General features: G+C 39.4%; 1 protein-coding gene across 4 annotated transcripts in view, besides 1 other annotated feature; it reads right to left on the reverse strand.

The window, feature by feature from the left end:
• ADAMTS18 (ADAM metallopeptidase with thrombospondin type 1 motif 18) overlaps positions 1-17,664 on the reverse strand; it is a 152,907-nt gene that overhangs the window by 24,434 nt on the left and 110,809 nt on the right. For all 4 annotated transcript variants that reach the window (NM_199355.4, NM_001326358.2, XM_047433672.1 and 1 more), the window contains 3 exons: positions 15,775-15,905; positions 14,518-14,641; positions 13,288-13,532 (listed from right to left, as the gene is read on the reverse strand). In NM_199355.4, coding sequence (NP_955387.1) covers positions 13,288-13,532; positions 14,518-14,641; positions 15,775-15,905 — 500 coding nt within the window. The remainder of the gene's footprint in view (positions 1-13,287; positions 13,533-14,517; positions 14,642-15,774; positions 15,906-17,664) is intronic.
• Positions 865-2,064: an enhancer, noted in NCBI's record as "BRD4-independent group 4 enhancer chr16:77341323-77342522 (GRCh37/hg19 assembly coordinates)". NCBI's record gives its function as "activates an origin of replication core promoter dependent on BRD2, P300/CBP, MED14 and CDK7 cofactors, and independent of BRD4, by STARR-seq in HCT116 cells {active_cell/tissue: HCT116}" and the evidence as "EXISTENCE:reporter gene assay evidence [ECO:0000049][PMID:35650434]".

Below are 17,664 nucleotides of genomic sequence, written 5' to 3' on the forward strand. Positions count from 1 at the left end.
TTTCTTCTTCTTCAAGAAGTTGTCCTCATTTTACCATAAAGGTTATGGATAAATTTTAAAGACTAGCTTTTTATTTAATGCATGCTAGGAAACTCAATTCCTGTCCTCAATAATGTATTCGATTGCTTTAAAATTAACAATGCCTATTGAGTGCTTATTATGTGCCAGGCAAAGCATTGTACATGCATTATCTCATTTAAAATTGATAACGACATTAAGAAGAAGGTGCTATTAATTCCAATAGTGTAGACTAATAAACCAATACTCAAAGTCACATAGCTAATAAGTCACAGCAATGGGACTCAAGTCTCTGGTCTTGTTTAACCCTAAAACCTCACATCTTCACTCTCACAACATTGCCTCTCAAGCTTTGAAACACCAAGCCCAGGATTCTAATTTAAAATTCTAAAAACTGTGTTAACTGCTGGAAAGACAACACTGGGCCTCCCTGGTGTGCTGTGACATTTACTTTGTGACACTGGGTTTGAACCTAAGAATTTTATTTCTTGAACATACTGGCATCTAATTTAAGAATACTTGATCTCCTCAATCAATTTTCCCCTGGATTTATTTATAATCATTGTTTTAACAACTGAAATATAATAGACTTTATTGGTTGGCCTTTTCTTGATAAAGCCCAAATTGCACCTTACACTCCTGTGTCTCACGGAAAGAATGGTTTTGTGGTGTGGATTCATGTTTTTGTAAGCTCATGTGATTTTTGGAAACTTGTGTTAGAATTCAGCCCATTTTCTTTGACTTATTTGCTTCAAAGCTGGAAGAACATGACCAGGTATCATCATTGCTATTATGTGTGAGTGATTGAATTTGACAAGAGACAGTAATACAAAGACCCTGATCAGGGATTTGGAAATGCATCTGTTAGGCAGCTTCAAAGGTGTGGGCTGACACATTGAACCTTGACTACAGTTCTAATTCAACTCATCAACATTCCTCAGAGTGTAGTGGGGAGAAATAGTGTTCTCTAACCCGTCACAAAAGTATTTGCCATGAATTAACTGGAGGCCCCCACTTCAAATAGCAAATGGCAATCTCTAGACAAATGACGTGCCATCGCAAAAGTACCTCTGAATCGTCCTCTCGAGCCTGACTATTCTATCATCTGTTCTGAATTAATTCTCCATTACTTCTCTGCTTCTTTTGTGTCTTGTGTCTTCACTCAGTCCATGCTACTTGGCTAATCTCCCTTCCCTTACACTGATTGTATCTTGAGGCACTTCCTTACTCATTTCAGCCCCTTTACCTTGGGGAGAATTCAGCAGGCAGGGTCACAAAGGAGCTGGATGACAAGGTAATACTTCGTCAGTGGTGCTCACACTGTCATCTCATTGATCAATGTGCCTGTCCACCTGGTCCCCACCACCCTGTCATCTCCTTTGGCCAAAGAGTGCAGGAAGTTGTTTATTATAGTAATTTTCTTTAGATGTCTCTTCTTGCCTTGAAACTAGGCTGTGGTTAACCTATTTCTCACTTACTATCATGAGAAAGGCTGCTGTCGTTTTCAGCTTCAGGATTCTCCCTTATTACACTAGGAATGGGCTTTCAAAGAGTTAAACGCCCTCTTCTTCTGCTAAACATAGAGAAAAAAATTCCTAACATAAACGAGAGCTTTTCTATTTTTTAAAACTTTTTAAAAAAGGAATGCTGTGAAAACACAGGTGGTCATATTTCAGCCATACAATAGCAACCTGTATTATCATGTCATACTGAATCACTTTGTTTATCAGACAGGGATGAAGTTACTTCATAATGAAACACTCATGATGAATTTCCTCACCTCCACTCCAACTGCATGACAGCTTGATAGAGAATGTGACTCATTCATTGTTGTGTGTGTGTATGTGGGTGAGAGAGATACAGACAAAGAGACAGAGAAAGATTGAAATGGGGGAAAAGGAAGAGGAGAGAAAGGAGGAGCATGAACTAGTAAGATACCTCATCTCTAGTCACTTCTAGAGAATGTGTCATCTCTAAGTGGATACCTTAGCTAATCATGAAAAAAAAAAAAAAAAACTTGTGTACATTTTAATCCTTATTGCCAAGGTCTCCTAAAACTGTGTATGAAACAGGCCTTTTCCATATTGCTTAAACAAAGGACAAAGTCAGTGACCTTAAATTACCTACACCTAAACCTCAAGATGGAAAAACATTGTTTTCAGGCATACTCAAAAAGCCCAGCATATGTATGTGTCTACTTCAGATGAACTGTCAACAAAGCCTTGTGTAAAGTTTCACTCTGATCTTCAGTTTTCACAATTCAATCACTTGAAAATTTAATTTCTTACAACACACACACACTTAATTTAGATATTCAGGAGTGGAGAATTAAAATAGATTTAGTTTTTCTCAGTATTCCCAAACCCAATAAAATAAACATAATGCAGTCACTGATACATAATATCCTAAACTCTATTAAAATAAAAGCTACCTTTTAAATCTTCTGGATGACTAACAAGTACACTAGTTCAGTGAGACATCCCTTAGTCTTTATGCCAGACTTATGTTGTAGAAAATAAGTTGAAATACATGGAAATTATTTAGTTTTATATTAACTATATTCATAGTGATCTCAGAAACTATGTGACTGCTAAATCAATATTTATTTTTATGCTAACGTGCGCATGTAGCTGGCTAGTTTTTTTTTTTCTGGGAAATACAGAAATATAACACTTGGTCAAGAAAATTATCTCCTTTTCTCCAAGTCACTTATATGCATATATGTGTACGTATTTCAAGATCAAAAACTTGATTGATTTAAATAATGCCTAAGAAATTTAAGACCTAAGACAATCATACAAATCCTTGATTACCCTGAGGTATATCCCTTTGACACCAAGGAAATCAATGGGGCCAGCACTGTATAAATTGTCATCCACCTGTTGCACATGTTGAAACCATCTAGAACCAAGGACCCAAGGAGAATGGATGTCTGTAATACAGACTGCATTTTAAAATTGGACTGGCATGTGACTTAGTGATAAAAGTGAAGGTCTGTTTTCTATTTAGCTTAAATTTTTAGCTTCCCAGGAAGACATCCTATAAAGTTTTGACATATAAAAATAACCAGAAGCAGAAGACACTTTTATTTGGCATCAAACCATGCACTTATTTCTTGGGGTTAACTGACAGCAGTCAATTATTTCCAGGATCGCATTATCCTGCCTTGTACTACAAAACACCAAGAAATAAGTGGAATGATTGGCAAACTCAACACCTTGAAAGGGCAAATTGCTATTCATCTAGATTGAGGTAAGTCCACTGTGAACTAACTGGTCAGTGACTTCCTAGGTGTAAGTTATTCACTTCAGGAAAGCAAGTGTTTTAGGAAGCACATTGATTCCTCAAATGCATTTTAGGAGATCAAATTTCATTACTTTAAATGCTATTTGCTGTACTTAACTTTAAACCATGTGGTTGTCAAGGCCAGTCTCAAGAGATGATCAGATACAGTGGTTTTTAAAATGTGTGTTACAGAAGCCTCAGGATCTTCAGAGGATTTCAGTGCTGAAATGGGGCAAGGACAGGCTGGGTTCTGGTCCCTTCACTCCTGGCTTCAGTGAAAGAAGCTCTCCTTTTATGTTTTGCTTCCATGTAAAATTTTTCAATTTGAAAGAAGATTGCAACGAATGAATTTTATCATTGGATGTTGTTCACTCCATACATTTTCTTAAACATCCCACGATGTTCCAGACACTGTGCCAATTGTGGAAGCTACAAGTATAAATGAGTCATTGTCTGATAACATAGGGTTTGGGGGTGCTCTAAAAGTACTTCAGGACAGTAGTATAGACACAGTAGAAGACATTAGTTCAGTCTGGGGAAATCATTTCTGAAATGAGGAAACTGGGACCCTGATCATTTCAGTGATTTTTCCAAAGTCACATAGTTTGTAGCAGAGCAACCTATATCCCAGCTATTTATGCAGATGCTTCTTGTCTAACCCATGTTGCTTCCCAAAAGAATGGAATCCACGTACCAATGCTTGTTTTTTACATTATTTAAAGACTTAAGGCTGTAAAGTTTTGGTGAAAAGATTTATGTCTTAACCTTTTTTTCTTTTTTTTTTGGAGACAGGGTCTCTGTTGCCCAGGCTGGAGTACAGTGGCACAATCACAGCTTACTGCAGTCTCAGCCTCCTGGGTTCAAGGGATCCTCCCTCCTCAGCCTCTGGAATAGCTGGGACTAGCAGCATGCACCACAACTCCCAGCTAATTTTTGTATTCTCATGGAGACGGGGGTTTTTTCATGTTTCCCAGGCTGGTCTCAAACACCCATGCTCAAGCAATCCACCTGCCTCAGCCTCCCAAAGTGCTGGAATTTTTGCACCTGGCCTGATTGTGCATCTCCAATATCTAACACAGGGCTGGACACTGAATGTTTTTTAAACCAGACAATGAGAGGAAGTGAACAGAAGAAAATTGTTTTGATGGTAATTACCTACATTGATACACATGAAGGCAGATGAAAATGAAATTTAGCTAAGATATGGGAAGAATATGATGTCATACATATGAAAGGGAAAAAAAAGAGGAACATTACTCTCACAGTGGCATCCTCACGTGTTGTGGAAAACATACACTTCTGCTGAATTTTACATCATCATAAGGACTTAGTGAATATACAATAATTTTAGGTGGCCAAAAGAGATGGTGCTTTCATTCATAGATTTATTCTTTCTGTGGATGGAACAGCATTTTTCATTTTAGTAGGTTCCCACAGTGATTTTAGCATTTCACAAGATTATAAAATAGATTTAATATTTTTGTATTGGAGTAAATATATGTTTGGCTCCAAAAGTATTCATTTTGGCTCTTCATAGCTGTTGTATGGAAAGGCCTATGAACTTTATTCAACTTCCTTTAAAGAATACAGCCATGGATCACTTGGATATCAATATACAGTCCACTTTTGGGAAAATATAATTTATTGCTTATTATAATTTTATGTTTTTAGAATATCTGTGTTCCATCCATTTTAGAGAGATACAAGCATGTGCTAAAAACTGACCAGCAATTTGATGATGTTCTCTAGAGAACAATAAAGTGTAATTTAAATACCAAAGGCATTAACCTAAATTATTTGAAAAGATATCATAGACAAAATACTAGATTACTGGAGTTTTCTTTTTTTTTTGCTTTGAATATATTTGCAACTTTTGAATGAAACCATAACTCCTTTAAAAATACAAGCAAGGCACGTCCAATTAATCATACAAGTTTCCATTTAGATTGCTTTCAGATAGGTCAAATTCCTTGGACATTAAGTTTTTCTTGAATCTATTGGTAGAATGAGTGCATAAAGAAAGATTTTGGAAAACAATAGCCAGGCAAACATGACCTTATTCCACTGTGGTGAAACGACAATTTTGTATTACTGGAGATATTGCTGTAGTTCTTATTCTTTTATGTAGTAGTAAATAATTATTTTTAAAAACATATTATACATATCCAATTGAACCTGGGGAAGACTTCGTTTTTATGATTTTATTTAGATCTACTCAACATTTGTCCTTACATCTTATTTTTGTTGTTGTTGTCACTCAAGGTGCTGTCCGTATTATTTACAAAGAGATAGATTGATGAACCGGATCAATTCGAGAGAACTCTATCACCAGTGGAGGCCAATCTTCCATTCCTCAAAAAAAACTTTTCTTTTTTTTTTTGTTTTTTTTGAGACGGAGTTTTGTTCTCGTCGCCCAGGCTGGAGTGCAATGGCACGGTCTTGGCTCACCGCAACCTCTGCCTCCTGGGTTCAAGAAATTCTCCCTGCCTCAGCCTCCCCAGTACCTAGGATTATAGGCGCCCGCCACCATGCCCAGCTAATTTTTGTATTTTTAATAGAGACAAGGGTTCACCATGTTGGCTGGGCTGGTCTCGAACTCCTGACCTCAGGTGATCTACCCGCCTTGGCCTCCCAAAGTGCTGGGATTGCAGGCGTGAGCCACCGCACTCGGCCGTCTCAAAAAAAACTTCTAACTATCAGGAAAAATCTTACACCTGGTGAAAAATCTTAAAGTTTACTTTTTGTCAGGGCTAAATCATGTTGATGAATGACATACAGAGCTATGCATGGATTAAATAAAGTACGAATATGCAGCCAAATATGAAAAAATGCTCATCATCACTGGCCATCAGAGACATGCAAATCAAAACCACAATAAGATACCATCTCATACCAGTTAGAATGGCGATCATTAAAAAGTCAGGAAACAACAGGTGCTGGAGAGGATGTGGAGAAATAGGAACACTTTTACACCGTTGGTGGGACTGTAAACTAGTTCAACCATTGTGGAAGACAGTGTGGCGATTCCTCAGGGATCTTGAACTAGAAATACCATTTGACCCCGCAATCCCATTACTGGGTATATACCCAAAGGATTATAAATCATGCTGCTATAAAGACACACACACACGTATATTTATTGCGGCACTATTCACAATAGCAAAGACTCGGAACCAACCCAAATGTCCAAGAATGATGGACTGGATTAAGAAAATGTGGCACATATGCACCATGGAATACTATGCAGCCATAAAAAATGTTGAGTTCATGTCCTTTGCAGGAACATGGATGGAGCTGGAAACCATCATTCTCAGCAAACTATCACAAGGACAAAAAATCAAACACCACATGTTCTCACTCATAGGTGGGAATTGAACAATGAGAATACTTGGACACAGGAAGGGGAAGAACACACACCGGGGCCTGTCGTCGGGTGGGGGCAGGGGGGAAGGATAGCATTAGGAGATATACCTAACGTAAATGACGAGTTAATGGGTACAGCACACCAACATGGCACATGTATACATATGTAACAAACCTGTACATTGTGCACATGTGCCCTAGAACTTAAAGTATAATAAAAATAAAATAAATAAATAAATAAATAAATGACTCAAGGTTTAAAAAAAAAAAAACTTAAATTACAAACAGAATTGTGGAAGACTGCTGGAATGGTTCTGTGTTTATGACCAAAACTGGAGAGACGAACAACAGAAAAAATGGTTGCTTGTCATGAAGCGGTAAAAAACGTATTTCTCATCAGGAGTGATTTGCACTTTGCTCTGACTGCACACGGCTGAGACTGTCAGATGCATGTACCCCTGTTTCCCTATTCAGGTTCACTTTCAGCTACAGAACTTGGTTTGTGTACATTTGCTTTGAGGTGGATCGAAGGCCTCTTGGCAAAAATTAATGAAGTCCTGCTCTCTAAAACTGATACCTTCAAGCCGAAAAAGCCCCTCAAAAGAAAAAGAAGTCTGCTGCTCAGATGCTTAGTAGAAAAGAAACAGGTAACACAATGTATCTAAAAAAGGACTTAAAAAATCCAGAAATCTTTAATAAGAGAGTTCAATTTCTATGCCTTAGGTTTAATTAAAGTATAATATCAGGGGCTGGATTCACTGTTGAGCTCCAAACTATCCTGGCCATAGTCTATTTTGATTGGGAAATGCTAGTATCTTCCTCTCAAATAAAAATGCTGAGGGGGCTGGAAGAACATTTCCTAATAACAGCTTCTCTTGAGTAGGTGGTATGAGATCTTTGAGGGACGTCCACCAAACAGATGGACTGATGGGACTGGGTATCTCCAGTTAGGAAGATGATGGGAGTTAACTCAACGATCAAGGCTGCAAACTCAAGTATCTCCTGGGACTAGAGGTTTTCTTAAGAGTTTCAAAAATTCATATGTATAAGTCACCTGATATTAAAGCTTTAATCTATTTTCTCCATTTTAATATTATACATGGCTGGGCGTGGTGCACACCAGTAATCCCAGCACTTTGGGAGGCCGAGGCGGGTGGATTACTTGAGGTCAGGAGTTCCAGACCAGCGTGACCAACATGGTGAAACCCCATCTCTACTAAAAAACATATACAAAATTAGCTGGGCATGGTAGTGCACGCCTGTAATCCCAGCTACTTGGGAGGCTGAGGCAGAAGAATCGCTTGGACCCAGTAGGCGGAGGTTGCAGTGAGCCAAGATTGTGCCATTGCACTCCAGCCTGGGCAACAAGAGCAAAACTCTGTCTCAAAAAAAAAAAAATGTGTGTGTATGTGTGTGTGTGTGTATATATATATATGTACATATATACATACGATTGATAGATAGTGCGGGCCTAAGGCTGAACTTGACTTGTGATCACCAGTTTGCTAAATATGGTCTCAGGTTTCATATATATATATATATATATATATATATATATAAAATATATGTGATATGCTCAGAAGGCAAAATAATGGCAATAGTAATTAACATTATGGGCTAAGTATTTTGTAGGCACTGAACTTATCTTCAGTTATCCTCATCATGGCCCTAATAATTAGCTGGTATTGTTTGCCCATTTTACAAATATAGACATTAAGTGACACAGAGATTAAGAAACTTGCCTAAGTTATGTAGCTAGTTAAGAGTCTGTACTCTCAGCCATTCTGTGTGTAGAACATCTTGGAATTTAAGGTTATGTGTTTTATTTTTAACTGTCTGCTACTGTTCTTCCTTAGTAAATATTTAAGGCTAGTGCTACTTAATCACTACTCTTGGAGACTAATCCTTCATTTTCTACCATCATGGCCTAAAAAAAAATTTCTGTATCATCTACTAATAGTCCTTTGACATTATGGAAAATGCGATGCTTTTGAAATCTGAATAATAGATTGCATGGTCTTAAAACTATGAAACTGGCACTTAGTGGGTTTCTCTGATTGCCTCCACAGAGGGTCTCAAATGTCATCAAGGGAATAAAGTAGCAAAGCCTATTGTAAACTGAATTTGCATAGCTCTTGCGTATGAGATTCAGACGGATTTTAAATACCTTAAAATCTGGATAGAAACATATACGATTGGAGCAACAGCAGGAAGAACAGCTAGGATGCCATCCCTGTTGCCATGAATGAGGGCATCTCCACTCACGCCTGTGGGTGTGCAGGTGCAGGGCAAAAATACATGACAAGATGCCAGCGTGATGAGAGATTTGCATCTATATACAAATTCCATGATATCTGTGAAGATCCTGTTTCCAGCACAAGCACGCCTCTCCGTGACAGGTGCATGCTCCTCTTTATTGGTGGTGTCAACCAAGGCTCAACATTTCTTCACAAGGCACATTCTGGATATTGCAATTATTTGGCTACTCCCAAGAGGCAGCTTATCAAAGAAAACTTGGATCCAAGTGCCCTGCTCAGTTAACAAATGATATACTACTATACTACACTTTAGGTATTTTTAGGAACTGATTTGCATATTCATTCCAAGGCTTTTTTCATGCATTTTAAACACACACTCAACCGCCTACTTGACAGCTACTCTTGAATATCTAAGGTACATTGCAAATATATGGTGGCTAAAATGGAATTTTTCCCCATCCCTAAACCTGTTTCCAGTCATCCTCAAGACAATGATAGTGGTAAAACCATCCTCCAGATGCTCAGGGAAGAAACCTGAGACTCTCTCACATCTTTCTCCCTCAGAGTTCATTTCTTATACATGTCTAGTAACTTTTCTAGCTTCCAGTTCTCTACCATAATACACTGCAAACAGATCCACTTCCTGCCACCTTCACAGTCACCATCTGTTTCAGCGTCTATTACTCCTTACCTGGAATTCAAGAACCATTTTCCTATTTCCCCAGTTTACTTCTTGCCTCTCCAATCACTTATTTACATAGCAGCCTGGTTGAATTTTTTTTTTTTTTGAGACAGAGTCTCGCTGTGATGCCAGGCTGGAGTGCAGTAGTGCAATCTCGGCTCACTGCAACCTCTGCCTCCTGGGTTCAAGTGCTTCTTCTGCCTCAGCCTGTTGAGTAGCTGGGACTATAGGCATGCGCCACCATACCCAGCTAATTTTTGTATTTTTCAGTAGAGATGAGGTTTCACCATATTGGCCAGGATGGTGTAAACCACCCTCTTCCTTGACATCCTGATGTTGTTAATGGGATGAAATCCAAACTCCTTACCATGGTTTGTATTATGTGTGGGCCACCCCCTGACTATACCCATCTCACACCTCAATACTTTCTTTTCTGACTACACTATAGCTAGATTCTCCTATTTTTTAGTTCTTATAAAATATTAAGTTGATTCTCCACATCAGGTTTTATTTATTTATTTGGAGAGAGTCTCACTCTGCCACCCAGGCTGGAGTGCAGTGGTGCGATCTCGGCTTATTGCAGCCTCTGCCTCCCAAGCTCAAATGATTCTCCTGCCTCATCCTCCCAAGTAGCTGGGACTACAGGCATGCACCACCACGCCTGGCTAATTTTTGTTTTAGTAGAAACAGGACTTCACCATGTAGGCCAGTCTGGTCTCATACTCCTGGTCTCAAGCAATCCACCTACCTCAGCATCCCAAAGTGCTGGGATTACAGGGGTGAGCCACCATACCCAGCCCACATGGAGTTTTAAATTGTTGCTTCCTCCGCGTGAATTTCCTCTGCTCTTTACCTGGTTGGGTCTTCTCATCCTTCAAGTTTCACCTCACATGGTAATTCTCAGATAATTCCTCACCAACTCTCTAATTCAAAAAGTCTGTTTTTTTATCTCATACTTTATTTTCTCTCAAAGAACCTACCACAATCTGTACATCTGCCTTCATTTATATATTCATTTGTGTAGTGCTGTACTGTACCCTCCAACACTCTAAGTTTCATTATAGCAGGAGGATTTTCTTTTCTGTTTATCCACTACTCTATACCCAGTTTACTGTCAATGTGAAACTCAAGAGCAGCTCAGTGCATGTGACACAGAGGAACGCAGTGATTTCTTTTGTTTGAGATGGAGTCTCACTCACTCTTTTGCCCAGGCTAGAGTGCAGTGATGCAATCTCGGCTCACTGCAACCTGTGCCTCCCAGGTTCAAGTGATTCTCCTGCCTCAGCCTCCCGACTAGCTGGGATTACAGGCATGCGCCACCACACCCAGCTAATTTTTGTATTTTTAGTAGAGATGGGGTTCCGCCACGTTGGCCCAGCTGGTCTCGAACTCCTGGCCTCAAGTGATCCACCTGCCTCGGGTGATTTCCTAATGTGTGGACATTTTCACTATTCTGCTTTCTGAAGTTCTAGCAAATCTAAGAATCCATGAGGGAAATTTCAAGATGTCATCTAATTTCACCCACCATAACTCAACACACAGAACACAAACTCCCACACACTGGGTAAGAGAAATTCATTTCTATTGCTTTCCCCATGAACCACTGTGAGCTGCAGAAGGTCATTACCAATATCATGGTAGCACGGTATTTGTTCAAAGAATTATCCAGGCCCGCTGTGCATGGAACTGAGAAAGATGATAAATTGAGTGCTTCAGTTTAGACAGAAGAAGTAGCTACCTCTGAAAAATTGCCTTATTCATCACTAATCTGACCAAAATACCCTGAGATGATTGAGGACACAGCATGCTGTCAGCCCAGAAAACAAGCACTATGTCGCTTTCCTCAGCACCAAGAACACAGTAAGTGCCAATAGTCTTATGTGAATTAACATATATAAGATAGAGGAAAATAAATTATTTTAAGTAAAAATCATCGGACAAGTTTATGAACACAATCTTCCTAATAGTCAGTTTTCAGATCAACCCTCTAGTTACCACAGATCTATGTCAGTATTGGTCAAAATACATGGGTATGTTCTCAGTGTTTTATGCATTCAAATCTGGATGACAGATGTCTCCAAAGAGCAAACTATCTATTTCCCACCTCTAGTAGGCTTTGTACCTCCCACAGAGGCAACCATTTCACAATGAGAAAAACCATATAATGACAAGTAGCTGAGCCTTGCCAGTATTGGTGCTATATTAAGATAATGGTGTGGCCAAGTGAGCCAGGAAGACTTACGTTCAAACCTCAGTCCTACCACTTACATGTAACACAGTCTGTTTAAGGCTCGGTTTTCTCATCTGTACAATGGGGATTAAGTAACAATACCTACCTTCCTAAGGTGGTTGTGGGCATTCAGGAAATGAATGCATGAAACTGATCACAGAATGCCTGAACCTACTCTATTACAGTCATGATAACAACGATAATAATAATAACAGTTACACTGATCCTGTGTTTATTTGAGAAGAGAACAGTAATCTGAGTGTTACATAGATCTCATACTCCTGGGTGGAAAAGACTCTGACTCCAGTTCAGCTCTGTTTTTTTCCCTAGCTGTATGAGATAGGCAAGTCTTTTAATCTTTTTTTTTCACACTTGATTCCTTATTTTTCTGGTTAGTGAAGTCCATTTTCTACCTTAGTTTCACAGGTAACAAACTGAAACTTAACATGACTCCTAAGAGTAGCTGGATATGCAAGTGCTCAGTATCATTTCTATACAAACTGAAGCAAATCGCTTGCTTGTAAGAGCCAACAGTCAGCCCCATTTTACAAATGGAGAAAAAGCACTCAGAGACATCATGAGGACTAAAGAAAATGTTTCTATGATAACAGCCTTGCAGAGTCATTTCCAGATATGTTGGTTCTTTTAATTATCATTTTTTTTACCTTTTTTCCCTTTTCTTACCTGTGGGGAAGCTACAAACTACAAAATCATGGTAGTTTAGTATGATGAAACTCTGCTGACACCCAGGCAAGCATTTTCTCTACTATTAACCCCTTCTCCTAGGCCAGTTGACCTATGTTATGAATAGCTACAATGGAGCATCCAAATGGCAGACATAGACAAACCAGCATAATATAAAAAGTATTCTTGCTACATTCTTTGGCGTTCTTGAAACCCAAGCATATTGGTGAAAGGTTGACCTCTAAATATGAAAATCAACCCATTCTCTTGGAGGCCATTTGGGTTCCTGTCCTCTTCCCCCAAATGGAATCACTGTCTTCTCCCCTTTACACTTTGAAATTTAGCCTATTAGGAAACACCTTTTGTTGTTGTTGTTGTTTTGAAACAGTCTTGCTCTGTTGCCCAGGCTGGAGTGCAGTGGCACATCTTGGCTCACTGCAACTTCCGCCTCCTAGGTTCAAGCAATTCTCCCGCCTCAGCCCCCACTAATAGCTGGGATTACAGGCGCGTGCCACCACACCTGGCTAATTTTTGTATTTTTAATAGAGATGGGTTTTCACCACGTTGGCTAGGGTGGTCTCCAACTCCTGCCCTCAGCTGATCCGCCCACCTCAGCCTCCCAAAGTGCTGGGATTACAGGCATGAGCCACCATGCCCGGCCAGGAAACACCTTTGAACTAGAAGGACTGGAGTTCTGGCTCAAATTGCAGTCAACGATATAAATGTAGCAAGAAGCACTGAGAACTGAATACACAGAAGGGGCTTACTTCAAAGACCAGCGTCTCATTTGTGGGCCCTGGCGCGTACAGACGTTCCGGGCGGTTGAAAGAGCGCTGGTATTCAAACGTGGTCCCAGCGAAGGGGAACTCCCCAGGCCAGTCGATGCTCCAGCCCCCGGTGAGGTAATACTTTTGACTGAGGCTTCGAACTGCGAGGTAACTGGAGGAAACCTGCAGCTCCTGGATTTCGATGCTTCGGGCGCCAGCTGGAATGAGGACCACCGGATAATATTCTAAATGGAAAGAAGAGAACATGTCTGAATTCCACCCCATGCATTGGAGAAAAGGGACTAGAAATGGCCCGACATGTAGTGTTCAGTTTTATAGAGTGAGGTTTTTAAATCATTATCTAAATTCATTCTTACTCTATGAAGTAAACATGATCAATGATTTCATTGTCCAAATAGTAAGAACACTAGAGAAAATGTATGTGGCTTCCCAAAGCCTTCCAACTATGTTTTCTGTGGAGAACAAATACACTCTTCTCCTTCCCAGACCACAAAAGGCCACAAAATTCAAGAAGACTTTTCAAAAATCTAAGACCAAAGTGGGCGGATCACCCAAGGTCAGGAGTTTGAGACCAGCCTGGCCAGTGTGGTGAAACCCTACCTTTACTAAAAATACAAAAATTAGCTGGACATGGTGGCAGGTGCCTGTAATCCCAGCTACTCAAGAGGGTGAGGCAGGAGAATTGCTTGAACCTGGGATGTGGAGGTTGCAGTGAGCTGAGATCACACTACTGCACTCCAGCCTGGGTGACAGAGCAAGACTCTGTCTCAAAAAAAAAAAATCTGTCTGGAAGAAGCTTAGAACCATGTATCTTCAGTGATGAAATTCAGAAAACAGGGATCAAAAGTTTAATTTCACTCAACATATTTAGATAACTGCTTCAAATATTCATTTAGCACTGTGAGTAGAGATCACATAAGTTTCACAATGTTTCTTTGCTTAACAAATGCACTTGGACATACATGGGGCCTGGTCGGCATACTAAAAATGCAAAGCAGAAAGGCATTTATTTGGCATGTTTCTACGAGGTAATGTATCGACGAAATTCCTCACAACTATCTCCCTTACTCTTGCACAAGTGAAAAATGCCACCATCACTAGTGTGTCCAGTGAACTAGTAAAAGGCTCAACCACATTTGGCGTGACTCAAACTTGTTTGGTAGCAAAAGTTGTATCTCATTAACAATAACAAACAGCAGCATCTCTCACCATTTGCTTTATGCTGGTTGAGGTACAGGCCTTTATAAAACTTGCAAGTTGAATTATCACCTTTGCAAACGCCACAAGCATCTGAAACTGCTTTAGAGCCTAGTTCATGATCACATCCCACTAGCTGTGACAAAAACAAAAAACGTGAGAAAATAAAAGATCAGAGAAGCCAGAGGCTGGGAATAATTAAGAGGTATATGGTTCTCTGTATTTACAGAACATTAGGGAAGCAGTACAGCTTATGGTTAAAAATCACAGCCTCAAGTTGGACTCACTTGGGGTTCAAATCCCTCCCCTGACATTATTAGATGACTGAGCAAGTTGTATAACTCATCTAAGGCTTAGACTCTTCATCAATGAAACTGGAATAAAAAGTCACTATTGCTACTAATACCAGCTGAGATTATTCAGGCCAGCTGTGTAACTCAAATATGAAAATGCTGGACAATACACATGCATGCATGTGTACAAACATACACCCTTAAAAGATCAAAGGGCTCAAACTAAAATTAAAATGGAAGAGAAAATGAGCACTCAAAGTGAAAGGAAAAATAACTGGGGAAAAATAGTATTTCAAAATACATTTGTGAGATTCTAATCATATAGTAAAGGTACTTAGTACACATGCAATAAAAGTTTATTATTTACATTCTTATTTCATTTTTACAACTCCTGTGCAAAGCAGGATATAGCATCATCTCCATTCTATATATGTGCAAGTAGAGTAAAAAATAAACTAAAATAATTGGACAAGGCTCATGCAACAAGTAAATGAGGAACGTAGATATGGTGCTCGGCCAGGCGTGGTGGCTCACGCCTATAATCCCAGCACTTTGGGAGGCTGAAGCGGGCAGATCACCTGAAGTCAGGAGTTCAAGACCAGTCGGGCCAACATGGCGAAATCCCGTCTCTACTAAAAATACAAAATTAGCCAGGTGTGGTGGCATGCACCTGTAATCCCAGCTACTCAGGAGGCTGAGGCAGGAGAATCACTTGAACCCAGGAGGCAGAGGTTACAGTGAGCTAAGATCGCACCATTGCACTCCAGCCTGGGTGACAGAGTGAAATTTCATCTCAAAAAAAAAAAAAAAAAAAAAAAAGATATGGTGCTCGAATCCAGTGAAACACTTTGCTCTTTCGCTCCATGCCACCTGCTCTTCTCCAGACACACAATCTCTCACACCACTGTTCACGGTACACACGATATGATAAAACACAAGCATGCTCATACACTCCAAAGCAGAAACGTTCTCTTACTTCACAAACCCCGTCAATACAAACATCATTTTTGTTTGGGGAGCAGGGAGTTCCATCTTTCACTTTGCCGGACATTGCAAAAAAAAATTCAAAGTTCTCAGCCTTGCAGTACAGTTTGCATCGATCTTCCTCTAGAAACAAAGAGATCAAGATAGGAAATGGTCAAGAGGAAACTAAGGAAAAATGATAGGATTGTCAAAAGAATGAATTAAATTTACTTAGAAAGCTATCATGATGAATATGGAAAATGTGTGTGTTTGCACATATAAGCCCATATGATGTGGCTTTCGAAGCATGAGTCCCATGTAACAATCCATATAAAACTAATTTAAGAGTAATACGTAACAATTTTATTTTTCTCATCCTTAGGGATAGTCACCATACACATGATCGATGGGTTACTATCCAGCCTCCCTGGATAGTAAACCTTTCAGGTTTCAAAGGCCTGATGGTCAGCCACTGACAATACAGAAATGAAGTAGTGTGGCTGTGTTCTAATAAAATCTGATGAAACAAATACACACCAGATTTGGCCAGCAGCCCATAGTTTGATGACCCTGATTTAGAGCATGGATTACTTTAGATATTTACTCAGTCTGTTAAGAGAAAAGGTTTCAGGCACCAGGGAGAAAAGGCATACGGTTAGTCATGTTTGTAAAACATATAGAGAAAAAAAACCATGTCATAAAAATGAAGAGAAAGCAAATAAACTCGTCCTGAAGGCTACAAAAAGGTAACTTCTCTTGGCCCTTAAGTCCCTGAGATGTTTCTGATATCAAAGGCAAAAATTAAAAAAAAATTATATTTATAGAGCTCTTGTTATCAGAAAGGAGTTCCTATGCCAATTTCTCAAATAGAAAGAGCTCTTCTTGGCCAGGAATTCCAGATAACGTTTCTCACAGGAGACCTTCTGTGGGTGATATTGAGCGATATCCCTAACAACAGTTTTACAAACGTGTAAACAGTTTGCAAATAGTTGTGCTTCATAAAACCTCTCAATAAAAGACAAACTAAAAACTCAAACGTGAAAGGAGTTAAATTATCACAGTCCAAATATGCACATGCGTGGGTGGGTTAAAAGGTTCTCTCCCATCTATAATTTTTTTTAATAGCAGCTTTATTTAATGCGTAATTTTTGCACATGAGATTAGGGAGTTGGATGACATATATGCCCTTTCTTTTCTCTATCATTTCCAGAAATTAACAAGTTTTAGAAAGTTCCTTTTTTTTTTTTTTTAAAAGCACAGATTCCTGGGTGAGTTTATGAGTCCATTAAAAACACAGAGGAAAGACGGGAAAAAACCTCACTCCTGTAGCACAGAGATTGTCCACATTTATGAAAAAGTCTTCCCTTGTTCTTCTAAATTGCAGGAATGTCACAAGACATTCAAGTCATGGTCAGTCTCCTCTGATATAAGTATCAAAAGGAGACAAGGAGAGACTAGAAAGCCTTAACGTTTCTGTCTCCCTCCACTGAGAGGTAAGATCCTAAGGCAGGGAGTCTATGTTTGATTCAGTGCATTCTGCTCTGCATCTAGCAAAGTGTCTCCTACACAAAAAGAGTTCAGTAAACATCTGTTGCATGCATGAATGAAATTGCATGCTCCCTACTCAGTGGAAACTGCAATAAAATTAGTGAAAGAACTTTGACACCAGCAAGCATTTTCTAAATTGCAAAATTTATTTGTTTAACTTTCTCCTTATATCTTCAACACAGAATTTCTTTAAGGGCGATAACAGGACTGATTTCATAAACACTATGTTTGAATGAAAGATGTAATGTGATAAAGGCCAAGGAATATCCACGAAGCCAAACCAAAAGCAAAGAACAGAAGAGGAAGTAAAAGGAGGGACAACAGAGTCATGGAGAAAGAACCACAGGTAGGAAGC

The sequence above is a fragment of the Homo sapiens genome, chromosome 16 (assembly GCF_000001405.40).
Source record: "Homo sapiens chromosome 16, GRCh38.p14 Primary Assembly".
In the NCBI taxonomy this organism is placed as follows: domain Eukaryota; kingdom Metazoa; phylum Chordata; class Mammalia; order Primates; family Hominidae; genus Homo; species Homo sapiens.